The sequence below is a fragment of the Homo sapiens genome, chromosome 18 (assembly GCF_000001405.40).
Source record: "Homo sapiens chromosome 18, GRCh38.p14 Primary Assembly".
NCBI lineage: Eukaryota > Metazoa > Chordata > Mammalia > Primates > Hominidae > Homo > Homo sapiens.
This window is the reverse complement of record NC_000018.10, coordinates 6,087,656-6,099,864: the sequence shown is the minus strand read 5'-3', so window position 1 is coordinate 6,099,864 and position 12,209 is coordinate 6,087,656. Positions and strand designations below refer to the sequence as shown.

General features: G+C 39.2%; 1 protein-coding gene across 27 annotated transcripts in view; it reads left to right on the top strand.

Moving 5' to 3' along the window:
• L3MBTL4 (L3MBTL histone methyl-lysine binding protein 4) overlaps positions 1-12,209 on the top strand; it is a 460,543-nt gene that overhangs the window by 315,395 nt on the left and 132,939 nt on the right. For all 27 annotated transcript variants that reach the window (NR_158610.2, NR_158609.2, NR_158611.2 and 24 more), the window contains one exon: positions 6,337-6,510. Coding sequence is in view for 24 of the 27 variants with exons in the window: in NM_001365765.2 (NP_001352694.1) it covers positions 6,337-6,510 (174 nt within the window). In the remaining 3 variants the exon portion in view is untranslated. The remainder of the gene's footprint in view (positions 1-6,336; positions 6,511-12,209) is intronic.

Here is a 12,209-nt window from a genome sequence, read left to right as displayed (position 1 = left end):
AGTTAGGTAGATAGATATAGATATATAGATTTATTTTGACTCTTATGAAACTTTAAAAAGCATTTATACTTTTTTCTTACTCTGTGTGTACTAAATTTTTGAGTACATAAAGTGACAATTAAGTGACAGTGTCAGCTATTTTATGGACAAAAGTTAGTTGCAATAAGAGAAAAATATCTTAGGTGAACTGATTTTACAGCCACAGGAATTTGAAGAAAATTGACCTTGAGACCTGAAAATCTCCTCTCTCTCTCTCCATATATATATATATATATATATTTACATTATCTATCTATCTATAGATATATAAAAATTTAGGTTTTGCCTATGTCTGTGTTTGAGGACAATGTAATAAAAATCATGTCACATCCTCAGCAGATGTTAAAAACTCATGATGGCTCTTACTTCCCAGTCCATATCCCAACATGTATTATCTGTACTTGCTGTTACTCTTCATAGAGGTAAAATTAGCAACAATTTCAGTCAGATGAAAAGTACTATCACTGTTCAATAACTTCAATAATCTGCATTTTGGTATTTATTATGTCTTTTGGTGCCATTTGGCCAATCAGTATTTTCTAAGAATAAAAGATATTCACTTAACATCCTTATACTGTGTGAGAGTAGACTACTGCATACTAAAGACAATACAGTTCTGAAATGGGGCGGGTTATTTTTATGAAGTGAAAGGGCAGGGAGGGAAACAGCGTGTGGGGAAGGCATTGCTTTCCCGGGGCGGGAGGTGGTCATGCTGCGTGCAGCTTCCCAGAATCCTCCGAAAGAGCTGCCTGCTGCTGCCATCAGGACCTGAGGCCACATGGTGAGGCAGGCAGCATATACCTCTTCCTTCTCATTTCCATCGCTGAGCCCCTTTCTCTGCCAAGTCTCAGTGCCCTCTCTCCTTATCTGATAGGTATGACTATTCATGCTTCCTCCTGTCCTTTGGTTCTGGGAGGCCTCCTACCTACTCCTTCATAAAGGCTTCCACATGGAGATGCCCCCGGCCCACCCAGACACAGTACCTGTTAGAATCTGACCTCTCAGTTAAGAGAGGACTCTTCAGTCTTGTCTTATCTGCCTCTTGAAGGAAAATAATATAATTGGTTAGCAAAATAATTGAGACTAAACTATAAAATACTCTAGGCTTCATGAGGGGTGAGTTAGTTGCATTTAGAGAACCCTTTACAGTCTGTGTGTCTAATTCCTGGGCTATAGGAAGCCACGTTTCCACATCTGAGCCCCTCTTGGGAGATACTTGCCTATTTTGGGCGACTTTACTTTTCAGGATCACAAGAAAGGTTGTCAACAACTTGACACTCTTCCCGAAATACTGCTGACTTCTGGGTTATTTATTTATGTTTTGAACTGCAGCACTCAAGAGGCTATTACATCTTTGCCATTTTGCTTAAATTTGTCATGCTTCCCAACTTTTTAAATGTCACGTCACAGAGAAAAAATGACCATTGGCGTTTGGGAACAAGAGGGGGCTTAGAGCCTAGAGGTTGCTGGAGGCTGGAAGGACTGGTCTGGGACTCTGGTGCCCCAGGGCCCCCTGGTCACCTGAGGGTGTAGCCGCACACAGGCTGGGAAGCTACCCTTAGGTAAGTCGTGACAACTTGGTTATAACCTCCTGCTGTGAACTGTCCACCTCCAGGATGTCACAGAGCACCACCCACCCTTTTAGCAGAACAGGGCTCTCAGAGAGAAGTGGGAATCAAGTCTCCTGCCTGGGTAGGAGAAAATGAAACATTGTTGATGCAAGAGGAGAGTATAGCTGAGGAGCAGAATCTGGTATCCAAGGGGTTTGGCAACAGTAATCACCATCTAGACTCTTGGAATCAGAGCCACATAGGAAGAGTTCAAGAGGAAGGGAGGGATCCCAATTGGCGGGCACAGCACCTGGCAGGGAATAATTCGGGGTGAGAAGCACATAGAAGACTGGCCAGGTGGCATCTGGGAAGTGGAGCCTCACATCCTAGGTTTAAGAGTAAGAGGCAGAAGTCGTGTCATGGGAAGGGGATGGCAAAAACAAAGTAGGAACTTAGGGTGTCCATACCAGGAAGGCACCTGAGTCTAGTCAAAGCAGAGGGCAAGACATTTAGAAACAGGGATCAAAGTGGATGCTGAGTTAGAGGAACCGGAGCCCACAAGGCTGACTAGGGCTTCTGAGCATGGCATTTGCACAGACATCAGACCGGGGCACTGCTTCAGCTGGAACTGCTGGACTTTAAGATGGAGGACTGAGCTTAATGGATTACCTGTGACCTCACATCAGGATAAGTCCTGGGAATACAGGGAAACTGTCCCAACTGGTGGAATCAGGTACCCCTGCCGTGGAAAGAAGGAGAGAAGATTCAGTCTGAGGAGCCTCCTGGACCACACCCAAAATGCAGGGGTCCAGCCTCAGGGGCTCAGTGTTGCTGCTTTGCAAACCCTAACGTCATTAAAACTCAGAGACAGAAACATGTTCAGGAATGCTGCTCTTAGAATGAATAAAATTTACTTTTTCATTTGTCATCAGATATTAAAAATTATGCTTCCATATTCTTTTAAATTGTAATCACTCTGTTTCCTTCCATTATAAAGAAAGAGGACTACTTGTATCTGTCAAAACATTTTTCTTTTAAAACTTTGTCTGCAATGGTCTGGCAACTTTTTGTTTATTTAGCGTATATCCTCTCTTCAACTGCTTCACTGTTGATGAGGTTGGGGCTGACATTTTTGGTAAATTATTTGGTAGAACCATGCAAAATTTCTGATACTCAACTGTCTTTGACATTTAAAAACTGCAATTTTGTGTGGGTCAAGCTAATAGCTGCTGCTGTCTCTTCCTTTCCTGCAAATGACAGATTCTTCTGTGAATTAAGGAGGAATGGAGAAATGCTCTTCTGAATCAAAAGAGCCAGGACTCCAGCAGAGACACTGTGGCTCAGCACTCCCCTCTCAGCCTGCAGTTTCTAAGCTTGCTTGTCTCCATGCATAATCAACCAACTGGAATTTGAATATATTACTCCCTACCAATCAGACACTGACAGTTTACTTTGACCAACAGAACTTTAAGTCATAGAAACTTCAGCTTAGCTCAAATACTTTCTGAAGAGACTATGTCAGAACAGTACTTCCCCAATATTTGGCTAAATCCAAAGCTTTCAAAAGTGGTTTTATCATACCTAGCCTGTCCACTTCAGTCTTCTTTTTTTCAATGTGAATAGATTTATACAGAATCATGCATCTCTTAAACACACACACACATGCATGCGTACGTGCATGCACATAAGCACCAGTAAGAGTCTGAGTGTGCAAGAAGGCAGGCAAAAGTTGGGGATGCCATCTCCTTAATGTAGCTATTTCTCTGCAAAGAACCAAGTGAGCACAGTGTTGCAACTTGGTCACAGTAGATTCTCAGAACCCAGATTCTAAGGTTCAAAATGGTGCAGATAAGTCACATGATTTGCCTCATAGAATCAGGAATTGTTCCATTCTAGCAATGCTCTGGGGTTCCATTTGATTTTGCCTTCCTTACTACCAGAGAGACAAAAAAGGAACTAGGAGGAAATTAGAAATAGGTGAATGATTGAATGACCAGAGAGACTGATTCATGAATGAAGACTGAGGGAAACAGAACATCTCTCGACATCAGCAAATACTGATGACTATAACAGCTCACTGTGGAGGGGTCTGTGGTAGCTGTCTACAGATGCTGGACAGATAAGTAAGCCTTAGGAAGAGGCAGCATTAGTGCCATGTAGCATGAACCACATAGGGGTAGTGACACGAAATTACAAAAAAAAAAATTCATGGTTATAATGATCATTTAAAAAACTCAAATTGGGAGTGTGTGCTAGATGGATAGCAAAACTTCTGAGTCATAGTATCTTAATGAAAACTCGGCTGTCTTTGAAAAAGATATTTCTCAGTCTCTCTTAAGTTAGCCTAATGCCTTCCAACTTTTGCCTACAGAAAGTTCTTTCTGAAATTTTCCTTAAATCCCATACGGTGCAGCTTAACCAGATCGCTCTTGCTCTGCTGCTGTTGGGAATAGTGCTTCATCCCAGGACTCAAGCGTATGCTGGCCTGCTCTTCCCCACCAGCAACCAGGACAAACCAAGCCTGCATTAGCCTGTAAATACTTGCCTCTGGGTCTCTCTGCACAAGGACTGTGCTATGGTTTCCTTCATATTTTCTTTTTTTGATGGTGTTAAAAACCATGTCCCCGGCCGGGTGCGGTGGCTCACGCTTGTAATCCCAGCACTTCGGGAGGCCGAGGTGGGCGGATCATGAGGTCAGGAGATCGAGACCGTCCTGGCTAACACGTTGAAACCCCGTCTCTACTAAAAATACAAAAAATTAGCCGGGTGTGGTTGTGGGCACCTGTAGTCCCAGCTACTTGGGAGGCTGAGGCAGGAGAATGGCGTGAACCCGGGAGGCGGAGCTTGCAGTGAGCCGAGATCATCGCACCACTGCACTCCAGCCTGGGCGACGGAGCGAGACTCCATCTCAAAAAAAAAAAAAAAAAAACCATGTTCCCCTTCTTCAGCCTGATTAGTGCCAATAGTTAAGTGATTTGTTTTGGGACTTCCCAAGAAAGTGCCACAAGGCCTTGGTAAAGTTGCTTACACTGTGTGAGCCTGTTGTCTTACCAGTAAAATAAATACGCTAATACCTTTGGGTATTCAGTCAAAAATATATATTCATTAGAAATAATACATGTAAAACACCCTGTATAATAGTGGGCCTATAGCATACATTCAATAGGGGTAGCTTTTTAATTCTTATTATAAATTGTACTTTTTGGTACGTATGTCTTAACGTCTTCACTGAATTTATATTCTCTATAGTACCTAGCATGTAGCAGATGCTTATGGATTGTTGAATCAATACCTGAATAGATTAATAAACCAATAGATCAATACTGATTATTACAAATTACAGAACATGCATGTAAAGGCGCCCTTCTCTCTGTAGCAAAGGTTGCTGATACAGGTATAGATCATGCTGGGCCAGGCTGATATCATCTTAGCCATCCTGTCCCCAGTTCCAGAGTCCATTCTAGATATTGGTACTAAAGTCCTTTTGGGGTTAGAATGCATATGGCCTTCTCCAGAAGATCCAGTTTATTTTTATTATGTTCGCTGGACTCATGATAAAATTGTGGACCAGAAATCTGTTCTAGTCCACAATTTTATCATGACCTTAAAATAAAAGAAAGCTTTCATGTATTCAGAATGGATTTACTTTGTACTATGTATCAGCAAATTCATAGTGAGTAGGAAGTGAATGCTCAGAAAAGAATCAACTGCCTCGATATTGATGTATTTGGCCACGTGCTCCTCTAGGTGTAGCCGGTGATAACACTATGATGGCAATAACAGCTACCATTTCATGATGTGTGTGTGTTTGTGTGTGGCATGTGTTTGTGAATTCTTAGGGTCACACTAACCCTTATGAGTTGGATCTCCTTTGCTCATTTCACTGGGGAGAATCTCTGAAGCTCTGGCAGGAAGTACCTTCCCCAGGGTAATGTACAAGTGACCTGTCTTGGGTGTGTCTTCCCTGGTATAGCAACCTCATTTCTAGCAGCGGCAGAGTTTTGGGGCCTCTTTGGAGACAGGGACGTGGGCACAGGGATCTAATGGAGACAGCCCATCAGCCTGCAGAAGGAACCAGGTCATTGGCCCTGGCAGATCCTTCTGCCCATAGCCTGCTATTGGGTTCTGATAACATCCAGGACTCAGGACTCAGCTTTGACTTGTGAGGGGAGATAATAGACTCAGCAGACCTGGGCTTGGGCCTCTCCTCTCTCACCTACAATGTATCCTTTCACACCCCAGCCCAAAACTTCCCAGCAAAGCTCTGGAGGATTAAGCAGATCTGCAGATAGAGTGTTTCTGCATACATGAATATTAAGAAATGAAAACGCAATATTCTCTGATACCAGTAAATATGCTTAGTTACCCATAGTCTTTTCTGATACAGTCAAACCAGGGAATGCATATTGAGGATACAAACTGAGTTAAGTGTTATGTGACATTTGCATTGTTCCATTGGAAGTACATCTGTATGCTATTCTTAGATTTTTAAGTTTCTAAAATTATAAATGCCGTATGTGTTGATGAATCTATCTATAATTCTTTGTTGACCAGTGTCTGTGGTTCTAGAACCTGAGATTTTCTCAAAAGGCAATATGAAAAGAAACTATTATTTGAGTGTGCTCAGGGAAAGAAGAATGTTTCTATGCAATTTTTAAATATTAGGTGTAAGTCTGCTCTAATGACAATGGATCCCTGATTTATCACTGTATACTGATGACTGTGCTCTCATTTTTATACAAACCAGTGCTTTTGGCTGCCCGTATTCAGACATGAACTTGAAAAAGGAGGCAACACTTCACGATCGTTTGAGAGAACAAACACAGGCAAATTTGGAATCAGACTCTTCACATTCAAAATCAAAAAGCCTCTGTAGTTTGAACTTCAATGGAAAACATGAAAAGGTGAACAGTCAGCCCAGGTAAGAAACTTCTTAAAAATGTGAGCCAGAAAGTAAACCATGTAGAATAGTAAAAGAACAATTTTGTTAATAGTAATAGTTTCTATTTCTTTCTTCAAAAGAATTATTTTTATTTCTGGATATTATTAGGTTCGCTGGGCTGATAAAATTCATCTAAGCCTTGATCTTCATTTAAAAAATATTTTATTTTGCTTCATCCTTAAATATTTGAATTTACCTTTTTCTAAATGTACATATTGTATGTAAGCAGTAGAAAGTATATCTCATTTGTACCATTCCAAAAGATTCCCTTTTATCTTAAAAAGTCTTTATTCTTTTGAATCGTTTCATAGATATTACCTCTTTTGGCACATGGACAAGTATCTGTATCTTCTTAGTCATATCAAGATTTCGTCTCTTATCTCTTACTTGTCTTTGTCATCTTTAATACAAATGTACCTCAGATATAATTTCTTCTTACACAGAATAGTTTCCATTTTAATTTATTGACAACACATCTTCCCTCTGTTCCTAAATGTAAACTCGTGATTCTAAATACCAGTTCTCATTTTTGTTTATATATAACTATATTCTAAGGAGCTGCAAGTACAGCCTTGTGTGATATTTTTTAACCTAAATGAGTAAAATAATTTAAATAACATCTTTTCTCCAAAAAGCTCTATTCTCCATGCTGGGAATTATAAATACAGAAAAGTCTAACACTAAGTAAATAACTGGAGACCAGACAGAGACTGAGCCAAGAAAGGCTAGACAGAGAGATGAGAAATGGGTGTTTTCCTGACCCTGCCACAGGCAAAAGGCAATCATGTTCAAGACCTTGAGCACCCTAGACCCTGACTGTGCAAGATTTGAAGGGACGACTGCTTCTCCTAAGCCTCAGAGCCTTGCTCTTTGCATTCAGCAGGTGTAAAATAAAGACACATAGGCCTCTCTGTGTGTGCAGAGTTTCCACTGAAATCACTGCCAGCATTTGCACCTCCATCCCAGGTGGGGAGGTGCTCCTTCTCTTCAAGGGGGCGCCAGTTTATTCGGAGAATTTGGCTCATAGGATACACTTTTCACATGGGTTTTACATCCTGGACTGTGGATTTTTATTTTTATTCATGCACATGTTATTTTAGAGCATTTGGGTGACATTTCATTTTTTGTTAAATTTTGAATATTTTGACTTGATCTCTGTGCACATGACTGTAGATTAGTGCTTCTCTCTATTGCATGATCTATTTCCTATGGATACACATGCTTCTCTATTTTTATAGCTGTATCTTGCATTTTTATTATTTGCTATACACCTACTCCTGTTGTTGCAACTTCACAGGGTCTCGTTGTTCTTTACTGCTGTTTCACACCCACACTGTTTACAACTTTACGTAGTTGAGAGCTTGAATGTCTTTCCATTTCCTAATTGAGAGAGAATTTTTTCTTTTTTAACTATTTCCAAGGAACAGTGCTTATTTATTCCAGAATCATAGAGACCAGTACATCCGTTCGCCCTTAATCTTTTTGCTATAATCTGTTGTATTTTTTCAAATAAAAACCTAGTCAGTTTCACTTGTAAATATTTTAGACATTCATCCTCAATGTCAAAAATCACAGAAATGAAACAGATCTTTGAACTGCCTTAAAAAAAATGATTGCTCTCAGAGGTTAGCTAAGCTTTTCTTTCTAGCAAACACAGATATGTTGCCTCCCTATCTTGAACTCCTCTTAGGAGTTTAGCCTTTTAAACTAATTGTTACGTGCTTTATTATTTATGAAGGAGCTTTGCACTGAAATATGCCAAATAGGAATAATTACTACAGATAGAAGGAGTCGAGAATGTTAGTTGATAATCAAGCAGACAAATCACCGGTTGTCCTGTTCTGCCAAATCCTATGTTGCCTGTAATTAGCTGTGGGGGCAGGAGGTGTATGTTACACATCATGAATCCTCAAGCCTACTTTTGCTTTTACATCTCAAGACCAAAGCCATCCTTGCATTCCAATATCTGTCCACTTTTTTTCCTAACCAATCATCCTAATAATGTTTGGATAAATCGTATTAGCAGTCATTCCCTTTTCGAGTCTACCCTCATCTCCATGGCATCCTGTTCATAGTCTTAAATTCCAGGGCAAGGGAACAAAAGAGAACAAAGGAATCGACAAGGAATGATATGTAGGTTAATTATGTACAGATAAAACATATTTTAACTCTCTCCACAGCTTACTTGTAGTACTGTCCCGAGGCTGCCTTTTCTCTAACCCAAATCTTTGCTCTTGAAATCACTAGCTATTAGATACAGGTGATGGAGAATATTTAAATTCTATCTTTCCTCTTTTGCATGTTGAGCAGAAATAACTTTTACTTGGCTGCTGTCCAAAAATAGTGATGGGGGTTAAATTGGTGAAAATCAGAGCTATAATTTCCACTGGCCTCCAGTCAAGCCATCCACCATTGAGCTCTGGACAGGCCTTCTGTAATTTTTTTATACAAGCAACATTTGTCACATTAGAATATCCAGAGTTCCAGTCTGGGCAACATCATGAAACCCCATCTCTACAAAAAATACAAAAAAAAAAAAAAAATAGGTGGGTGTGGTGGCATGTGCCTGTAGTCCCAGCTACTCAGGAGGCTGAGGTGGGAGGATCACTTGAGCCTGGGAAGCAGAGGCTGCAGTGAGCTATCACACCATTGCATTCTAGCTTAGGTGACAGAGTGAGACCCTGTCTCAAAAAAAAAAAAAGAAATATATGTGTGTGTGTGTGTGTGTGTGTGTGTGTGTATATATATAATATATATACACATATATTTATATATATCCAGACTTCTTGTAATTCAAGTGAAAAATATAAAATTAACTTTGATAAGCTTCCAAATTTGGTTAGATATTGCCCAACAATTTGGATAATTTTTTCTTTTCCTTAACTGCAACCCAATTTTTTGATTATTTTTAAAAAACATGTTTGCTCTTATATTAATCTTTGTATCAGGGTTATAATTAGTAAATATATGACTCCACTGCATGATTTAGTGGTAGAAATAGTCTATTTATGTTCACATTTTTTAGTAGAGAGTCATGTTTTTATTTTGAGAGATTTATATATGTACTGCTAGACGTTTGCAAGAGTTATCTTTATAACAGTAAGATACAGATGTTATATTAACTGTAAAGAGTCATACTCACAATATCACAGTAAGTCACCATTTACTGAAAACCCATATATATTCCTTTTTTATTTGTGCTAATAGAGTGGGTAGTATTACATTCGTGGTGCATTAAATGGAGGTGAATAGCTTACACTTGAGTTTCTTTCATTTGGGTACATATAGTAGAGTAGAAAATACCTTAATCCATTTAACCATTTATAGTTTGCACATACATAACCTTTGGAGCTTCCCATAATTTTGTAATTTAGGCAAAGCAGACATTATTCTCATCATAATATTGCCATTTATAGGTGAGGAAATAGTAAGCTGGTAAGCTTATCTGGGACTGAAACATAGGTCGTCTGATTAAATACAGCATATTTTCAGTACAGTACATTAGCAATCATATTGCCAGAAATATCAATGATAATAACTATCTACTATTAATAGCACATACTTACTTGGGGCTGCAAAGCGTTATGCTAAACAATTTGTGTACATCATAGTGTTAATTTTATTTCATCCTCCCAACAACCCTGTATGTGGTAAGTTTTCTTATTCAGATTTTATAACATAGGCATCTAAAAGTTCAGAGAGGTTAGGTAGTGTCTGAGGTCATGCAGATGATAAGTAGAAAAAAATCCCACGTGCAATTCAACTACGTTAGACTAGTGAAAGAATGACAGCTTAAGGCTTTGAAAAAGCCCAGCTAGGTTCATATTTAGTCTTACTTTCTACTGATGTCTAGGATTCTCAGAGTCACCTTATGATGCGTCTGTTTCTTATTTTGTGAAAATAGAACCTGCACGTTCTGCACATATACTCCAGAACTTAAAGTTTAATAATAATAATAGAACTACTGAAGGGAAGAATCTTACCATGTTTTCCCCAAACTGATGTTTCTTATTTATACTATATATAATACAAAATGTCCGTCTTGAGCACGTTTTATTATAGTATACTAAAGGCTTCTACCTGCAACAAGAGAATATAATGAGTCATTAAAACATTTTCATCATAAAGAAAATTACTTTGGAATGCAGCTCCCCTCTACTCCCCATATTGTCTATTAGCTGGTTTCCCCAGGCCTGAGGGGGACTTTTTTTTCAGGCATTTTTTTACCTGCCTAAGTGTTCTTTAATAACTTCCTTTGCCTCCCAGAAGCATTGTTTAATATATTCTAATTCACACAATTGATAGCACCACCATTCGTTAAAATACCTGTCATATTCTATCATTGCTATTAAGAAAATCTAAGAAAATGCCTAATAAAGCTCACTTTGTTTTTCCTGATGCCTGCCATATTATAAATTTCACGCACTTTTTGAAAGCTAATATTAGTAATAAAAATGCCTGGGGAAAATTGTGGTAATCAGAAAGGATGGCATGTAGTGGAATAGTTCCTTAATGATCTTGGTGATAAACTGCACTGCCATGAGCCAACTAGTTTATTTTGGCTGCAACATAAGTACCTTCTATGATCTCCACCCTCAGAATTATAACAATGTTAGTTGGTTGTCCCACACATTCACCTTCCAAGTGAGTAAATAGGTTCTTTAATCCACCAGCCTTTTTCTCACTTCTTACTTTCACTTTCTCACTCCTCAATTTCACTTTCTCTCAATTCTCTGCTTTGGGAGGTAGAGTCTACTTACTGGCCCCACTCACTCCCCATCATCGCCTGCAGTGTTGTTTTCATTCCTGCACTGTGCCTTTGTTTCCTTTCTTGGTACCTCATTTACTCCTGCCTGCATCTCCTCCCTTTCCCACGGCTCACCTCTCTCTTGGAGTTCTGTGGCAGTTCCAATCTGTAAGAGCTTCTTGAAGTTGGAGTTTGTGTTTTATGTGTCTCTCTATTTCTAACACTTATTGCAATACCTGACACATACTAGACACTCAACAAGTTAAATAGATTTTGAGCAACCTACTAGGTGCCAAGGATGGTGGCCAGCCCTGAGAGGCCAGTCCTATCCTTGCTAAGTCCAGTCCAGTCCTATCCTTGCTAAGGCCAGTCCTATCCTTTCTCAGAGCCAGTCCTATCCTTGCTCTCAGCATCCCTCTCTCCTTTTGGTCCACACCACATATCAGCAGCTTATTTGTGTGTCTGCATGTACCTTTTTAATAGTTTGTTGTGCATATGCCATGTCTTCTCAAAAAGACTATAGGCTGCTAAAGGGAAGAAACAATTTATGCTTTTGCTTTTTCTTCTTTATGTTTCACATTATAGATCTTTAGTGTACCTAAGTTGATTGATTTCATCATATACATCTGTTTTTCTCTTAGAGTCTCCATTCCTTCACCTGTAAAATGGTCATAAATGTGAGGCTTATATAAGATTTAGAGTATAGGAATATAGATGTAGGTAGATATAGACATTGATATTGCTATAGATATATGAATGGGCCTGGCACATAGAAGAGACTATTGAAATAATAGTTCCATGTCTTTTCTCCATTTTTATGAAAACCATTGATTTTAAAGTCTTGCAGTTGGACCAGTTCTAGCGGTGTGTATATCACACACCTCAACACCAACCACAGGAATTTAGACCTTTATTTATTTGGTCTAAGATA